This window comes from Homo sapiens, chromosome 2, assembly GCF_000001405.40.
Source record: "Homo sapiens chromosome 2, GRCh38.p14 Primary Assembly".
Lineage (NCBI taxonomy): Eukaryota > Metazoa > Chordata > Mammalia > Primates > Hominidae > Homo > Homo sapiens.
Window position 1 is genome coordinate 29026406 of NC_000002.12, and position 17274 is coordinate 29043679.

A 17274-nucleotide genomic window follows, 5' to 3' on the forward strand; every position below is an offset into this window, starting at 1 on the left:
CTGTACTTCCCCGGGGACAAAGACAGCGCTACCTTGGGCAGTGGGTGGGATGTCTAATTCTGCCTGTGGGGCTGGGGAAAGAAGGAAGAAGAGACACTGGTTAGGTAGGACTTTTCTAGGTGGAGGGAAGATGGAGAAGAGTACTTAGACAAAAGGAAGGATGTGTGTGCAGGAAGCTCCCAAGAACGGTATGCATACGGTGTATTGGGGAACCTCGTGTAGCTTCATGTCACTTTCCTTCCCTCTCCCGTTGTTGCTGTCACCCTGTTCGTAGAAAGTGAGTGCTCTTTCCTCAAAGATTCCCCTCAGCTCACATGGGGACAGGTATTTTTGGAGCCCCTGGCTGGCATGAAGCATGGGTCTGCAATGGTAGATCCATGTTTGCCAGCCTGGGGACTCCCACACCACTATCCTGAGACTGACCCCTGGGCCATGATTTCCTTTCAGCCACCGGAACCCCTTGATCCGGAAATACGCGGCTGAGCACCTCTCAGCTGTGCTGGAGCAGATCGGCGCTGAGAAGCTTCTCTCGGGCACCAGAGACAGCACAGACATGTTGGTGCACAACCTGGTGAGGCTGGCACAGGACTCCAACCAGGACACCAGGTAGGGCAGGGCCAGGGGCCTGGGGGCAGAGAAGGCAACCAACCAGCCAGCCCTGAGGGGCCTGGGGCACACAGCTTCAGCTTCCCTGGGATCCTGCAGAGGGACAGGCAGGTAGGCGGAAGCTATGTCCTTTCCTTTCAGCTCTTGTCCCATCCCTTCCATCAAGCCAAGCCCATTCAGGGAGGGGTCCTTACTCCCTGCCTCCACTTTCTGGTCTTCCATTTCCCCTCTTACCCATTGAGTGTTGCTCTTGTTTCTACCTCACCGCAGCACCATTCTCTGTAAGAACATTCAGGCCTTTTTTTCTGGAGATATTTAATGATCACTCTTTTTCTTATTAAGGACACAGCAGTGAATAAGAAAAATGAAGTCCCTATTGTATTGGAGCTTACTTCCTAGTCGAGGGAGACAGATAATAAATAAATAATTATGGTAATTTTAGATACATATCAGGGATATAAAGAAAAAATAGGCCGGATGTGGTTGTTCATACCTGTAATCCCAGCACTTTGGGAGGCCAAGGCAGGAGGATTGCTTGAGGCCAGGAGTTGAGACTGGGCAACATAGTAAGATCCTGTCTCTACTTAAAAAAAAAAAAAATGCTAGGGGTGGTGTTGCACACTTGTAGTCCCAGCTACTGAGGGGCTGAGGTGGGAGGATCTCTTGAGCCCAGGAGGTAAAGGCTGCAATGCAATGGAGTTGGTGGGGGGGCTGCTTTAGACTGAGGGTTCAGAGAACCTTTTTTAAGAGTGACATTTGAGTTGAGAGCTGAACGGCTACACGGAGCCAGCTCTTTGAGGATCAGGCAAAGCAAATGTCACAGAGGCCACTGGATGGGAACAAGCTTGGTGTCCAAGGGTGGGGACGGCCAGCCTGGTGGAGCACAGTGAGTGAGGGGTGGGGGTGAGGGTGGGCAGCAGGCCCAGGTCAGAGACGTTCTCCTAGGCCAAGGTCAGGAGTTGGGATTTTGGATGGTGTGTGATTGGAAGTCATTGGAGTGTTTTCTTAGTGGGAGTATGAGGAGGTGTTGGAGGATTTTAAGCAGGAGAGCGAGAGGATCTGGTTGACTGTCTTCAAAAGCTAGGGCTGGAGCCCAGTTCCTCACACTCCTCAGTTCAGGGCTTATTACTACCACATCCATTTGGATGAGTGTGTAGGTCTCCACCCCTCACTCCATCCTCGCCCCAACTGGAGACCATGTGGCACCTGTCAGGGCTCCAGAGGCCATGCCCACCCTGGATGGGTGAGCTCCAGGCCAGACATTCTCGTAGGGTACCCACGTCTGAGGGTGCTCCCTGAGGGATGTAGTGCCTGCGGTTCCTCCCATTCTCCCCTGCTGCAAACTGTGCTGCATGGCACCTCCTCGGACGTGCCCAGGAGCAGGACCGTGGGTCAGATGCATGTGTGTGCTCCAGCAGCCCCGCCCTGCCTGGGGTCCACATCTGCCTCCCTCCTGCACAGCCTCTCAGCATGTGGCAATTTCTAGATTTCTAATTTTTATCCATCTAATGGGTAAAAATGATAGCTCATCATTGTTTTAGAGTGCTTTGACCCCCTGCTTATTAATAATGAGTTTGAGTGTTTCTTTACATGCGTGTTAGCCTTTATAATTAAAAAAAAAAGCCTCTCTGGCTGCCGCAGGACTGGTAGTGAGAGAGAAAGGCAGGAGGAACAGCAGATGATGGCTGCCCCACAGTCCAGGCAAGAGGGGCTGGAGGCTCAGACTGGAGAGTGGTGGGTGGCTTCGGCCAACAGCCAACAGGATGGCAGAGCCAACAGGATGCAGGTGGTAAGGGTTTCAAAGACGAACTGAAGATGCTCTTAAGTTTTTACCCTGAACAATGGTGAATAATAGTGCCATTTGCTGAAATGAGGAATATCAGTGGAGAAGTGGAAGGTTTTGCTTACTCCTGCAAGAATGGCCATAATCAAAAAACCAAAAAATAATAGATGTTGGCGTGGATGTGGTGAAAGGGAACACTTCTACACTGCTGGTGGGAATGCAAACTAGCACAGCCACTGTGGAAAACAGTGTGGAGATTCCTTAAAGAAGTAAAGGTAGAACTACCATTCGATCCTGCAATCCCACTACTGGGTATCCATTGGGTATCATCATATGAAAAAGATACTTGTTCACGCATGTTTATAGCAGCACAATTCTCAGCTGCAAAAATGCGAAAACAGCCCAAATGCCTCATCATCAATCAACGAGTGGCTAAAGAAACTGTGATATGTATGTATGTATGTGTGTATACACACACACACACACACACACACACACACACACTGGAATACTTAGTCATAAATAGGAATGAATTAATGGCATTTGCAGTGACCTGGATGAGATTGGAGACTATTACTCTAAGTGAAATAACTCAGGAATGGAAAACCAAACATCGTATGTTGTCACTCATAAGTGGGAGCTAAGCTATGAGGATGCAAGGGCATAAGAATGACATAATGGGCCGGGTGCGGTGGCTCACGCCTGTAATCCCAGCACTTTGGGAGGCCGAGGCTGGCAGATCACAAGGTCAGGAGATCGAGACCATCCTGGCTAATACGGTGAAACCCCGTCTCTACTAAAAATACAAAAAATTAGCCAGGTGTGGTGGCGGGTGCCTGTAGTCCCAGCTACTCAGGAGGCTGAGGCAGGAGAATGGCGTGAACCCGGGAGGCGGAGCTTGCAGTGAACCGAGATCGCGCCACTGCACTCCAGCCTGGGCGACAGAACAAGGCTCTGTCTAAAAAAAAAAAAAGAATGACATAATGGACTTTAGGGACTCAGGAGGAACTAGTGGCAAGGGGGTGAGGGATGAAAGGCTGCAAATAGGGTTCAATGTATACTGCTCGGGTGATGGGTGCACCAAAATCTCACGAATCACTACTAAAGAACTTACTCATGGAACCAACCACCACCTGTTCCCCAATGACCTATGGAAATAAAAAATTAAAACAAAAACAGGCAAACAAAACATTGCCTGGCTGGGTGCAGTGGCTCACATCTGTAATTCCAGCACTTTGGGAACCCAAGGCAGGTGGATCTCTTAAGCCCAGGAGTTTGAGATCAGCCTGGGCAACACAGTGAAATCCTGTCTCTACAAAAAATACCAAAATATTAGCCGGGCATGGTAGCACGTGCCTGTGGTCCCAGCTACTTGAGAGGCTGAGATAAGAGGATCGCTTGAGGCCAGGAGGCACTGGTTGCGGTGAGCTGAAATAGGGCCATTACACTCCCGCCTGGGCAACAGGGTGAGACCCTGTCTCAAAAAAATAAATAAATAAAAAAATCACAAATCACATAGCCATTAAACTTGGAGCAAATACTTTGAAGAGTGAGTTTAGGGGGACTGGAAGAATGGGATGAAATGTCTATAAACAGCTATTCTTTGTGTAGCATCTACTAGAGCATCTACTATATAATAAAGTGTTGTGTAACTCTGCCATGCAACGAAAAAAAAAAGGACGTAGAAGGTTTTGGTTTGCTTGTTGGTTTTAAATGGTTGTTAGAGGGATGGAAATCAAGGTCTAAAGTCTCTCCAGATCTGCTACTCCTCTCCATTCTGACCCATCCCTTACACTAGATGATGGTGACTACATTTCCTTTTCCTTCCTAGAACTCTGTCCTTCCTGGTTTCCATGGCACTGTACTCCGGGGATTCTCCTTGTCCCTCTGTGACCATTCTGCCCCTGACTGCCACCTGAGTGTAGGTGCTGCCAAGGTGTCTTTAGTCCTCATCTCCCTCTCCTGGCTTTTACTTCTGGTGGCTCCAGCCACCAGCAAAGTTGGAGGCTTCTCAATTCTTGCCCTCCACTCCAGACCCTTCTTCGAGCATCAGTCCCCATTTCTAAAGCCTCCATGGGACCCACCATCTGATGTCCTACTGCCATCTGCAGTGCTGAGTGTCCCTAAATGAACTCATTGCCTCCTCTCCAAGTCTGCCTCTCTGTGTTCTCTCTATCATTAAAAGTGACTGTTATTTACTGAGCCACCCAAGAGGCACAATGGGGACTCCCATACTTCATTGATTTCAAGACACACATCCTTCCCTGGTTTTAATATTTTTAAAATTGGCATGTATCTTACAATGACAGGCATTTCACAGTTGCTGTTGGGCTTCAGTTGGGCTAGGCAGTGATTAGGACATAGGTGTTTTTGTAGTTTTAAGAGATGGGGTCTTGCTATGTTGCCCAGGTTGGAGTGCAGTGGCTATTCACAGGTGTGATCATTGCACACTACAGCCTTGAACTCCTGGGCTCATGTAATCCTCCTGACTCAGCCTCCCAAATAGCTGAGACAATAGGTGTGCACCACTGTGCCCAGTTTATGATGTAGTTATACTATCTGCACCTTCACAAACTTAGTCAGTGTTGCTCAGAGTATTATTTTCTGAATTAAATTTTCCATTGTAGGAACTACACTATGAGCCTTTCTTTGTAAATTTTTAAATTTATTTTCAGAAGTGATTTTTGGATGCTCTCTGGAGAATCATTGAGTTTAATCTGTTTAAAGTTTCTTAGAAATATTACACTATTATTTGCAATTGAAATGAATAATTATTGTATATGAGAAAAGGCATGGCAACGTCAGTGGATATCCATTAGATATCAATGAAGCAAACTCTCACTGTGGAAGGAATGACCAAGTCCCACATTTTTTGCAAAGCAATCACTAAGAACTTTACCTGACCTAAGGAAGAAAAATACCGACAAGCAATGCTATCTTCTGTTTCTGAGATAGCACATAGAAAGATTGCCCTCACACATGGGGCAGTGTCATTGGAGGCTATGGAAATCACCAGTTTTTATTTTTCTGATTTTCCTTAGTGGAAAATAAAGTAAGGGCACCTTTTACAATTAATGGAGTCTTAAGTTTGAATGAAATATGATTTAAGATTTTAGATGCTTCCTGCTTCACTTCCCACCAGCTACCAAATCCTGTGGTTTCCATCTTCTCAGCAGCTCTTGGATCTGACTGTGCTTCCTTATCCTCACTGTACTGCCTGATTTCAGGCCTGCACCATCTTTTTCCTGGACTATTATGGTGGCCTCCTAATAAGTCTCCTGGCCCCTAGCCTTGTCTCCACCAATCCATCCTCCACACTGCTGCTAGAGACATTTTGACTGATGTACAAATTGAATCATTCTTCAGCTTCCTATTGCATGCAAACTGAAGCCTAACTCCTTCATGTCTCCCTAAACAGGGTCCTGTGTTCTCCTCTGGCCTGTCTGCTTCCTGTGTCCAACCTCTGCTCACTATTCTCCAATATATCCCCCTGCTGACATGTCACACTGTGTTATAGACCTAAATAACCCTGTTCCTCCGACGTATCCCAAATCCCACCCAACTTGTGAACTCCTACTTATCTGTTGAGCCCCAACGCAAGGGTCACCTCTTCTATGAAGCCCTCCTTGATTCCCTCACCTGCCACCACTGTTCATCAGGTAGATTGACTACACCCTCCTATATTGTCCCGCTTTACCCTTTCTGGGACTTCTAAATGTTCCATATTAGAACAAAATTGAGTACACTTTGGTATAGCCATTCAACGGAATATTTTGTAGCCATTAAAAAGGATGTTTATGGAGAGTTTTAAGGGACTTGGGAAGATGATTAATGAATGATAAAGTGAAAAAGCTGAATACAACTTGTATATACATTCTGATATCAACTAGAAAGTAAATGCCACAGAAAAAAGACTATAGGAAAATATGTAAAAATTTAATAGGGATTTTCTCTTGGTAATGGGATTATAGATGATGTTTATTTTATTAATCTATTTTTTAACTGGGTAGGGATTGCTTTTGTAATTAGAAAAAGTATTAAAAACTCTCTTTAATTAGGAAGATTATGTAAAGCTGTAAAGCAAATTTATTTTGCATTTCAGAGGCTGTTTCTTTATCTTGCTCTCTCTCCTGTGGCAGATTTTATGGCCGGAAGATGGTGAATATCTTGATGGCGAACACTAAGTTTGATGCATTTCTGAAGCAATCTCTCCCATCTTACGACTTGCAGAAGGTCATGGCGGCCATTAAACAGCAGGTGAGCTGTGGGGCATAAGTGGGTCATGGCCTTTTGGGGGTGGGGGTGACAGTGCTGAGCCTGGTAGCCTTCATGTGGGTCAGGGGAGTGGGGAGTGGATTCCAGAGATGTTGATTTCATCCACTACTCCTGATAGGTGAGATAGATGTGATTTCTGTCCTCTGTGCTCACACCTGGTTCTAACCTCACACTACCCATGTTCCTTGAGCCTCCCTGGGCCTCCATGCCTTCATCTGTTAACCAGGGATCTTGATCTCTGCCCCAGCTGCTTTCAGGGCTCTGGAAGGCTCAACTGTGACATCTGAAGCTCTCCTAGGTGGAAGGGATTATTGCCATTGTTATGTCTCCACTGGAATGTCTGGCATTTCCCTGGAGGGCCACTCCTTTTGGCTCATGCTCTGTGTGTATTTTTTCAAGGGAATAGAAGATAATGATGAACTTCCCTCTGCCAAAGGCCGCAAGGTGTTGAGGAGTCTGGTGGTGTGTGAGAACGGGCTGCCCATCAAGGAGGGGTATGGCTGCTCCTGTATCTCTGGGCTTCACATCTAAGACTTCTGACAGAGGCATCCTGCTTGTCCATGGCCAGGGGTGGCTCTGGGGTGGACATATGGATCTGGGGTATCGCTGAGACCTAGTTGGGGCTGCAATACTAATAGATGAATTTGCAGGATGTGTTCCCCCCAACCCAAATCCCAGGGAGACCAAATCCTGGGCTTGGGAGCATCTGCCAGTAGAAGTTGGTTCCTGCAGTCCCAGCTGAGTGGGCGGGGTTCCACTAGCATCGGTGGTTGGACTCTCTGTGTGAGCTCAGTGTTTCCTCGTTCGCTTAGACCAGCAGATCCTTTAACCACCAGAGTGGCCAGCCTGGGACTAGTTCAGAGGCCCAGCCTGAACTAAGGCAGATGAGAAGACATGGACTGAGGGGCTGGGAGGAGGGGGTGTGGGGTTGCTGGGAGCAGTTAGAAACCAAGCAGGAGTCTGATGGTCACGCCTGTGCTTAAAACTGAAGCCCTTCTGTAATGTCCTGGGCTGATCCCATCTGAACTCCTTAGCAGGGCACTAGGGAAGCCCCATGCCCACTTCTTCAAAGGTAACTTCCTGCCTACTCTCCCACTCTTCCTGTCTCGGCCTGACCAGAGCAGCACCTGGGATAAGCAAAACATGAGAGCAGCTGGTATTCATGCCCCTCCACATCCTCTCTCCCTGCTGTGCCTTTGCTTATCCTAGACACCATCTGCACCTAGAACATGTCTATTGGTTCTGCAAGATTCAGCTCACCTGTCACTTTCTCCAGGAAGCTCTACCACTCTGTGTCCTCATGTCCTCAGGGTGACAGGCTGGCCTGTTCTTCATACCTCTGTCAGCCCCGTTGATGTATCTATCTTCCCTTGGTCTGTGAGCTCCTAACGGCAAAGGCTGTGCTCTCATCTCACGGTTCTCAGTGCCCAGCACAGCTCTTGGCTCTCAGTAGACAATGAGTGTGGAATGCAGGAGTGAATCACAGAATGAGGGACAGTGGGCTCTGCTGGATGGGACCTGGGTGTAGGGCATGAGCCAGTGACCCAGGCTTGGAGCTGAAGGTGGGAGACAGTAGTTCTGCACAGAGCTGTTCTTATGCTGGCTGGAAGGGGCTAGGGGGCTGTGATGGGCATGTGATCCCAGTGTAAGAAAATGGGGCTTTTTACAATGTCCCCAGTTGCTGGGGGAGTGTGAGCAGAGCCTAGCCAGCCAGGGATCAGGATATAGGAGCTGGGCAGAAGGTTGGCTGTGATGACCTCCAAGGTCTTTCCCCACTCTTACATTAAATGTGCACCAGTTGGCCAGGTGCAGTGGCTCACACTTATAATTCCAGCACTTTGGGAGGCCAAGGTGGGTGGATCATGAGGTCAGGAGTTTGAGACCGGCCTGGCCAACATACTGAAACCCTGTCTCTACTAAACATACAAAAATTAGCCGGGCATGGTGACACATGCCTGTAATACAAGCTACTTGGGAGGCCGAGGCAGGAGAATCGTTTGAACCCAGGAGGTGGAGGTTGCAGTGAGCTGAGATTGGGCCATTAAACTCTAGCCTGGGCAGCAAGAGCGAGACTCTGCCTCAAAAAAAAAAAAAAAAAAAAATGTGTACCAGTCATTCTTTTGTGGATAGCCACTTCCTCACTCTGACTTCCCCCATTGCTTACATATCTTCTGAAAAGAGAAAAAGGTAGGAAGAGAGAGCCCTGGCCCCTGACAAGGGGATGGAGCCCTGGGCAACAAGCTGTAGGTGGAGGGGAAGCTGGGGGTGGACTAACCTGCAGGTGACACTCTTGTCTCTGCCCCACCTGCCTGTAGGAGGTGGCATGGGACCAGAAGTGGGTTCATTCCCCCGGGCTCTTCCCTGGGGGGTTCAGACGCCACGCTCCTTACCTAGGCTCAGCTGCAATGGCCCAAGGCTGGTGGGGCTGCGCTCCACACTGCAGGGCCGCGGGGAGATGGTGGAGCAGCTACGGGAGCTGACACGGCTGCTGGAGGCCAAGGACTTCCGGTCCCGGATGGAAGGCGTGGGGCAGCTCCTGGAGCTCTGCAAGGCCAAGACGGAGCTTGTCACTGCCCACCTGGTCCAGGTGAGCACCGCTTGCTTTTACTCTCCCACCTGTCTCTCCTCTGGGGGGTGCAACTTGAAGTTTGAAAACTCTGAATGGCGTTGGACATGTGTCAGACCCCTTGCTATGCAGTTGGCCTTTGTAACATGGAGACTACCTGGAAGTGGCTGAGTGGGCAAGGGCACCGCCTCCTGCCGGCAGCTTGGAAATGCTCAGAGATGTCTCTTGTCCTTCTAGCAGATTTACAGTGAGGAGGGTAGGAGGTAGAGGTGGAGGATACTGTGGTGAGGCCTTGGGTTGCTTCTGGGGAGCTAGGTGCATCATGTTTGGGGGCAGAGCATGTGGCTGGACAGGTGACTTGGCTGTGATGGCTGGACAGGTGTGTTAGGAGTAGGTACAAGCCCTTCATAGGCTGAACACTCAGGTGGGTGCCTGCTTCTTGGTGGACTGAGGCTGCTGACAGTCAGTTACACAGCTGAGCAAAGACACAGCTCAGAGTCAGCAGACCTGGGTTTCCATCCAAGCTTCTTACTAGCTGTGTGATCTCAGGCAAATCATTGAACCTCTTGGAGCCCCAGTTGTTGTTGTTTATGGGAAAGTGGGGGTGAAAATGTGCTCCATGGGTTGTTAAGATCATTCAGTAAAAATGATTGCACAGCAACTAACAAGACGCCCTGGACACTTGGCATGCAATGAGTGCTCAATACCTGTTGGTTCCTCCCCTCTTCCCACCCTTTTGAGGTGAGCTCTTCATTTTTGAGAGTGCTGTGGCATAGGTCAGGGACGCAGGAGGAGTCTCTGCTGAGGTCGCTCAGTTGGGCCAGGTGAGCTCCAAGCTGCCTGCACTGTGGGAGTCCTGCCCAGCCTGGGTTCCCATGGGCTCTTGGTTTCTGTTTCTTCAATAGGTCTTTGATGCTTTCACCCCAAGGCTTCAGGATTCCAACAAGAAAGTGAACCAGTGGGCGCTGGAGTCCTTCGCCAAGATGATCCCCCTCCTCAGAGAGAGCTTACACCCCATGCTGCTCTCCATCATCATCACTGTTGCAGACAACCTCAACTCCAAGAACTCAGGGATTTACGCTGCTGCCGTGGCTGTGCTGGATGCGATGGTTGAGAGCCTGGGTGAGTGTCCCACGTGGGCCTGTGTGGCTCTGGTCACCATGTCCACCCTCCTGCTTGGAAATCTGCAAGGTGGATAAGGCCTTGGTTGGTTCCCAGGCCAGATGTTTCACCAGAGGCTGTGTAGGGCAGAGGTGGAGCCCAGGGCCTCCAAGGCTCTTGGCCAGTGGGCTTTTCTATGTCACAGCCACCCACACCTCTGGACGGCTGGAAGTGGAGGTGATGTGGAGATGATCCAGTCCAGCCTCCTCATAGACACATGAGGGAAATGACCCCCCAGGGTCACAAAGCACCCCAGTGGGTGAGTCAGGAGTGCTGGGAAGGCTTAAGCTGGGCTGGGGCTTGGCGTGGGGTTTGTGGTGATGGGCAGGGAGGGAAAGTGGAGGGAGGGGAAAAAGGATAGAAGAAAAAACGGTGGGAGCTATGGAAGAGCCATCAGGAAAGGTGAGAGCTTCTAGGTATGACATCTTGCTTCTGGAACGTTAAGGGAAATGTTGGTGCATCTGCTTGTGTTTTCTTATTCCTCTCATGGATGCTAAAAGGTGATGTTTGGTGTACCCAGTACGTGGACCAAAGTGCAAATTCCAAACTTTAGGTGTGTGGAGAAAGTAGCACATGAGTAGACTTATGGCCAGCCCAGTACAAGGACGAGCTTTCCCAAACAAGCCTTGCTTCAGTACGAGGAAGCCATGGTCTGAAAACCACCTGTGTTTGCCTTGTTGCTGTGTGTCCTCATGAGCATAGAGCAACGTCTTGCCTTTAGCATCCAAAGACCATCCTTTAGAGAGGCTGGACACCCCTCCTGATACACTTGCTGTCCCCCTCCCCCCGACCCCACCCCACTTCCTGGCCTGAGCCCAGCTCCCTGGGGCTGGGACAGGCACCGTGTCCTTGGCTGGAGGCTCCAGGAAAAGTTTCAGTTACAAATCAAAGGCCTGGTCAGGTCCCTCTCTGCCTCTTGAGTTCATAAATATTGTCAATTTCCACTCTTCATCTCAGAGGGAATTTATGATTTGCTGAGTTTGTTGCTGTAGAACAAACAATATAAATCCAGCTCTAAATTACGGCTTGTTCTCAGCATTGCTCTGGGTAAGTGAGATTGCTCTTGCCAATAACCAAGGCTCTTGGTAAATCACCATGGGCCTTGGATTTATTGGGAAAACCTGTACCAAGCAAAATAGGCTTTAGCTATTTGAAGAGGATAAGTACCCTTGTCTAGGGAGAGGAATTTTTAACTCTTCCCCCTCCAGGTGTTTTAGTTTCCACTTTTTGCCATCAGGCCAGCCTCCTTGAGCTCTGGAATTGTGGCGCTTTGGGCAAAAAATCTAGTGTCTCATACTGTCACAAGATTCAGGTCCCTCTTATTTGGGGCCCTGTTGTACCCCTACTAGACTGGGCATCCTGGAAAGGAGAGCCTGGGGGTGGCCTGCTTTTGTGATCTGAACTCACCTGGTAGCAGGATTGTAGCTACTAGGAAGATGCCTATGTTCTCCCTTCTGGGACAGGGCCTCCTTGGGTACGGCTGATAATGTACCCTCTGGTTCATCATCCAGAGGCTTTGGTGCAATGGGAAGGGTTGGCTCTCTTCCTCTCTAATCCATAGGTCAGGGCTTAGGCTGGAATGGAATGGTGTGGCCCTCAAAGGGATGAATGGAGTCCAGTAAATCCCTGGCAAAAGGCTCAGGTGGAGCCCAAAGGGTAAAATATACTGGTTTTTGTTTTTGTTTTTGTTTTTTCGAGATGGAATTTTTGCTGTTGTTACCCAGGCTGGAATGCAATGGCATGATCTCAGCTCATTGCAATCTCTGCCTCCTAAGTAGCTGGGATTACAGGTGTGTGCCACCACGCCTGGCTAATTTTTTGTATTTTTAGTAGAGATGGGGTTTCAGTATGTTGGCCAGGCTGGTCTTGAACTCCTGACCTCAGGCGATCCATCTGCCTCGGCCTCCCAAAGTGCTGGGATTACAGGTGTGAGCCACCGTGTCAGGCCAAATATGCTGTTTTGGATCCAGGTAATTTTTGAGCAGGTGAAGCATGGGCTATCTGGGCCTGATGGCTTTGCTGCAAGCCATACCCTCTTAGCCCAGCCAGCAAAACAGGTTTTGAAAGTGTTCCTAACTTTGAAGTGACCAGCTGATTTCCACATCCATGTAGGTCAGAACTGGAGGGAGTAGGTTACCAACAAGGGGGACTCATTGCCAGGGAGTACCTAGGGTAGAATCTGCCTCTGGGAATGGTTCTTATCTGCCTGTCATGGTCTGAGCCTGGCCTGCAGATGGAAGTAACTAAATTTCCCGCTGTCCCAGGGGATTGGGTGATAGCAGCAGAGAGTGCATCAAATCGGACGGAAGAGAAGGGGTATGAAGTCTTCCCAAATCACCCAAGCTGAGCCTGGTGGTTCTAGTGGTTTCTTGGGGGACCTTTAACACCTGAGGCCCCTCTTGGAAGTGGCTTGGATCGGACATGATCCAGTTTCTTTGATGGGAAGGAGCTTTTCCCCAAACCTCCTTCTTCATGCTCCATAAGAAATTCTGGGCTCCAGGCTGGAGACGACTGTTGAATGCTGTGAAATATTTAAATGTGGAAAGTCACAAAGCAACAGCTCAGCAGGTTACTGTTTATTTCCTGCTAAACTGGAGGTCAAGGGGATCAAGAATAATGCCAAGCTAGGATGCCTTCTGGCATAAAGTCCAGATGGCACAGCCAAGTCGGGAGGATGGCCTTCTTGGGGGGACCTTCTAGAACTCACTAATTCTAGAATTCAGTGATAAAGAAGCCAGTATCATCGCTTCTAATCCCTTGGTTTCCCCAGGCTGGGTGGGGTTGAATGGAGTATTGGTTGGCAGAGCAGGTGGGGATTTCTGCCCATGTCCTTTTCATGGGAGGTAGTAAGGAATGAGACATGTTTGCAGCTTGCTCCCTGACCTCTGCCATCTCTCACTGCCAGCCTTGAGGCCTCTCTGGGATTGGGGCTCAAGTGGCATTCTTCCTACTCAGCACCAAGACCTTCTGATTTCAGGGGAATTATTCTGGGATCAAGGAAGTTCCTGAGTAGAACTGGTTGGCTCTGTCTTTGGGCTCTTATTGGGTTAGTTACAGAAGAAACTTCGCTAATGAAAACATCAGGCTGCTGACAGCTCATCCCCTCCCGATCAGACCTCAGCATTCAAGCTTCTCTGTGCCAAAAGGAACTTTCTTAATTTACTCCAGCCCCTGGTCAGTACTGGAGAGGGCAGATAAGCTTGGAATGCGGGTGGCTTCAGGTCTACTTTTGCTATTTTGCTCTCTGACTTTAAATTTATTACCTTATATAAATCATATCAACATTATAATGTTAATGGAATTTAAAAATGCATCCATGGTGCTCCTCCAATATACCAACTGCTTAAAAATATCTCTTCTATTTTTGTCTATATACAAATTTCCCTTGTTAAAAATCATAATGTAAATATAGTTTTGATTTTGCTTCTTTCATTTAACACTACCCAGTTTCACATGCTACTGGGCAGTCTTTCTAGTTAATTAGAAAACCGAAAGTTCACTTCTACCACTGTAAAGAAGTCATACTTATTTTGAATAAATGAAGATACAAAGCATTTGAAAGGGGAAAAAAATCCCTCACTCATAGTCCCAACTCTTCAGAGAAACCATTATTAACATTTGGCATTTTTTTGAGTTTTTTCCTGTGCACATTTGTGTACATGGTTGTTGTAGGGTAAATCCACCTGATAGCAATAACTTTAGCATCCCCTTAGAATGATCCTGAATGGCAGACACAATGAGTGTGTGTTCTGAGCTAGGGTATCTGGGAGTGGCCAACTTGGAGATTCATTCCTTGTTTATGAGGCACATCTGAGCTCCCGACCTTCCCTTGGAACATGAGCCATACAGGGGATTGAGGCCCTGAATTTTGGGGTAAATGAAGGTTGCCAGGTGGAAGGTGTTAAGTGAAAGTGCTATGTAAATTGCATGCTGTTTGCAGGCAGTTGCGATTTTCCTGCCCAGCCCTCCGCCACTGCGCCATAAGGCTCTCCCATTCAGCCTGCTGCCACTAGACTCTCTCCCCTGTAGGTAAGCCCCTAATAAAACCCCGTGTCTCGTTTGTTGGCTTTGAGTCTCTTTTTTGGCCTCTTGAACCAGATACCCTTCCTATTAATAGGGGTTAATAGGGGTTCAGCACAGCAGTTGTGGTGTTATACATTTGGATTCGCATCCTGCTTTTAAAAAAATCATAGCATAAGCATTTGCAGATGATTATACTCTTGAGTCACTTTTTTTTTTTTTTTTTGAGATGGAGTCTGGCTCTGTCACCCAGGCTGGAGTGCAGTGGCACAATCTGGGCGCACTGCAACCTCCGCCTCCTGGGCTCAAGCGATGCTTCTGCCTCAGCCTCCCGAGTAGCTGGGATTACAGGTGCATGTCACCACACCCGGCCAATTTTTGTCTTTTAGTAGAGATGGGGTTTCACCATGTTGGCCAGGCTAGTCTCAAACTCCTGACCTCAGGTGATCTGCTCACCTCGGCCTCCCAAAGTGCTGGGATGACAGGTGTGAGCCATTGCGCCCGGCCTTGAGTCACTTTTAACAGCTCCATCACGTGACTGCATCATAACTTGCATGTTTCTGTGCAAGTGAATCAGTCACAGTTTTTTCTTTAGATGAACATCCCTAGTGCTGGTAGCCATGGTGAATCTGGTAAAACCAGCGCGTCATAACTTACCAAGTCTTGTGCTTATTTAGGGGACTCCAGTCCGACTCCAGTTTCCTTGCTACCATGTTTTCTACGCTTTCTTAAAAGCTCTTATCTGGCTTCCCAGTAGCTGGAGGATGATGTGGCCTGGTAGCCTCAGGGCTTGGCTGAATGGGACAGGTGTAAGGCCCCTTAGACCTCCACCTCATTGTAGAGAGGGGAGTCTGAGCCTAGGAAGGACAGTCTCTGGGCTGCGGCTAGTGGCTGTTTTCTCTCCAATTCAAGGCCAGTCTTTGCCTCCTTGTGAGGCAGAAAAGGAGCCTAGGAAAGCACCAGGTTAGGCTAATGGAGTGTAGATTTTCAGCTTTTAAAAATTAGATTCTAGCCTCTTCATTGGTCTCTCTACCATTGTGGTTGCTGGGCTCTCAGAGTTTTAAGGTAATAATAGTAACAATAATAGCTGATACTTGCATAGTAATTATATGCTGTAGGCATTATCCTAAGCACTGTTTATTCATTGAACCCTTACAGCAACTTTATGAGAAAGCTATTAGTATCATCCCCATTTTATAGTTGGGTAAACTGAGTCATAGAGCAGATAAGTGGCTTGTCCAATGTTCCACAGTAAAATATGGAAGAACCAGGATTCAAACCCAGGCAATCTGTATTCAGAGCTCTTACAACTGCTATGCTTTAGTGTGTCTTATTGAACCTGGAGGTAACCTGAAAGGTGAGCCTTCACTCTAAAAGTGGCCAGCGGAAAGACAGGCCAAATGCCTGGGCATAGTGCTCTGGGGTTCATAAACCAGCCCAGGCACACTGTGTCTTGTTTTGACATTGCCCTGCAGCTACAAGCATTTATTCAGCACCTGCAGTGTGCTGTGCACCGTGGGAGCATGGTCTGGCACAGGTCTCTGCTGGATATGCATTTTTAAGTGTTCCCCAAATTCACTTCTTTCTGGCTCTGGGGAGAGGGGATGTTTGGGGCCAGAGGCGGGAGCCCCTGCTGTGTCTAGATGTCAGGTCTAGATGTGTCTAGGGTCAGGTTCCAGCTCATGCTGAGGTCTGAAGGGAGTGGGTGGATGAGCAGAAAGAACACTCGGGGGGGCTACAGGCAGGTGAAAGATGATTTTATTCAGCAGCAGCTCTCTGCAGCAGCTTACTCTCACACCATCTGCCCTGTCTCAGCTGCTTAGTCTGTTGGCTCCCACACACAGCTGCGCCGGCTCTCCCTTGCCTTCAGGGTCAGCAGCTTAACTCTTTCCCTCTGGGCACAAGCCGTTTCCTAGCTCCGTGTCCGACTGCCAGACGGGCATTCTCTCTTACAGGGGGCAGTAGCTTCACTCTCTCTCTGGGCACACACAAGCCTGCACAGTGTCAGCAGGGCAATTATGCCTTTTACAGACCATAGTGGCACAGGGCCAAGGCATGGCCTTCCCATGTTACGACTGTGATAACAAGTGGAGTTATACGTCTGTGCTCTAAACTTGCTGAGTCACTCTGGATGTTTACCTTGGCCTATCCTTGACCAAAGCACAGCCATGTTCCTTACATTAGAGAATGTTCTAGGCTGAGCATTGTGGGAGGTGACGGAGGAAGAAGTCCTTGTCTTCAAATCTGAGCCCAGGTAAATGATGGGGTGGGACAAATAGAAACACCTGGAAACAAACAGGTGCCATTCATATGAAAATCTATTCTTAACGCAATTGACAGCTTTACCAATGCACCCCGAGACCTTATCTTGCTAATTACTATATTCTAGAAGCTGGCATCTCATTTATCTCCCAGGGCAAATTATTTTAAAGCCGCTTGATTTGCGGATGGAGCTTTTGCAAACAGCAGAGATGTACCTGGGTACATTTTCTCCTCTGTATCCCTCAGGAGGACAGCAAGGGAAGCAGGGATGAGCTCTTAGATAAACTTGTGCCTGATGAGAAAAACAAAGCACTGAGTGCCCCTCTCCAGGAATGCAGGGGCTCTGTGCTGAGGTATTGAAGGAACTTGGAAAAAGTGAGACTGGAAAGACTTCCTCGTGCAGAACTCTAAAAACTCTGTCCCCTGTAAAGAGAAGTCTGGCCTGGAGAAGGTCAGCTCCTGGGTCCCAGGATACACGTGCTGGGCTGCTGTGGTAACACCACATAGGCCACCTGCCCTCACCTACCTGACAGGTGCAGGCAAGACACAAAGCCACATCTCTGAAAAATGCATTTTGTTACTTGCCCAACTTCCTACTGAA

The 17274-nt window shown here is 48.6% G+C and overlaps 1 protein-coding gene across 16 annotated transcripts in view, besides 1 other annotated feature; it reads left to right on the forward strand.

Annotated features, from left to right (window-relative positions):
* The window catches only part of TOGARAM2 (TOG array regulator of axonemal microtubules 2), a 95713-nt gene that overhangs the window by 69888 nt on the left and 8551 nt on the right, over positions 1-17274 (forward strand). For 12 of the 16 annotated variants that reach the window (XM_047443568.1, XM_047443570.1, XM_047443574.1 and 9 more), the window contains 5 exons: positions 448-606; positions 6529-6646; positions 7064-7158; positions 9059-9251; positions 10136-10352. In XM_047443568.1, coding sequence (XP_047299524.1) covers positions 448-606; positions 6529-6646; positions 7064-7158; positions 9059-9251; positions 10136-10352 — 782 coding nt within the window. Of the gene's footprint in view, positions 1-447; positions 607-5807; positions 6647-7063; positions 7159-9058; positions 9252-10135; positions 10353-17274 lie in introns of those variants that run through there. The other 4 variants (XM_047443572.1, XR_939670.1, XM_011532628.3 and 1 more) reach the window with 4 other exon arrangements.
* Positions 15510-16131: an enhancer, noted in NCBI's record as "H3K27ac-H3K4me1 hESC enhancer chr2:29264781-29265402 (GRCh37/hg19 assembly coordinates)". NCBI's record gives its function as "activates a minimal SCP1, AML or CMV promoter by ChIP-STARR-seq in primed H9 embryonic stem cells {active_cell/tissue: H9 hESC(primed)}" and the evidence as "EXISTENCE:reporter gene assay evidence [ECO:0000049][PMID:30033119]".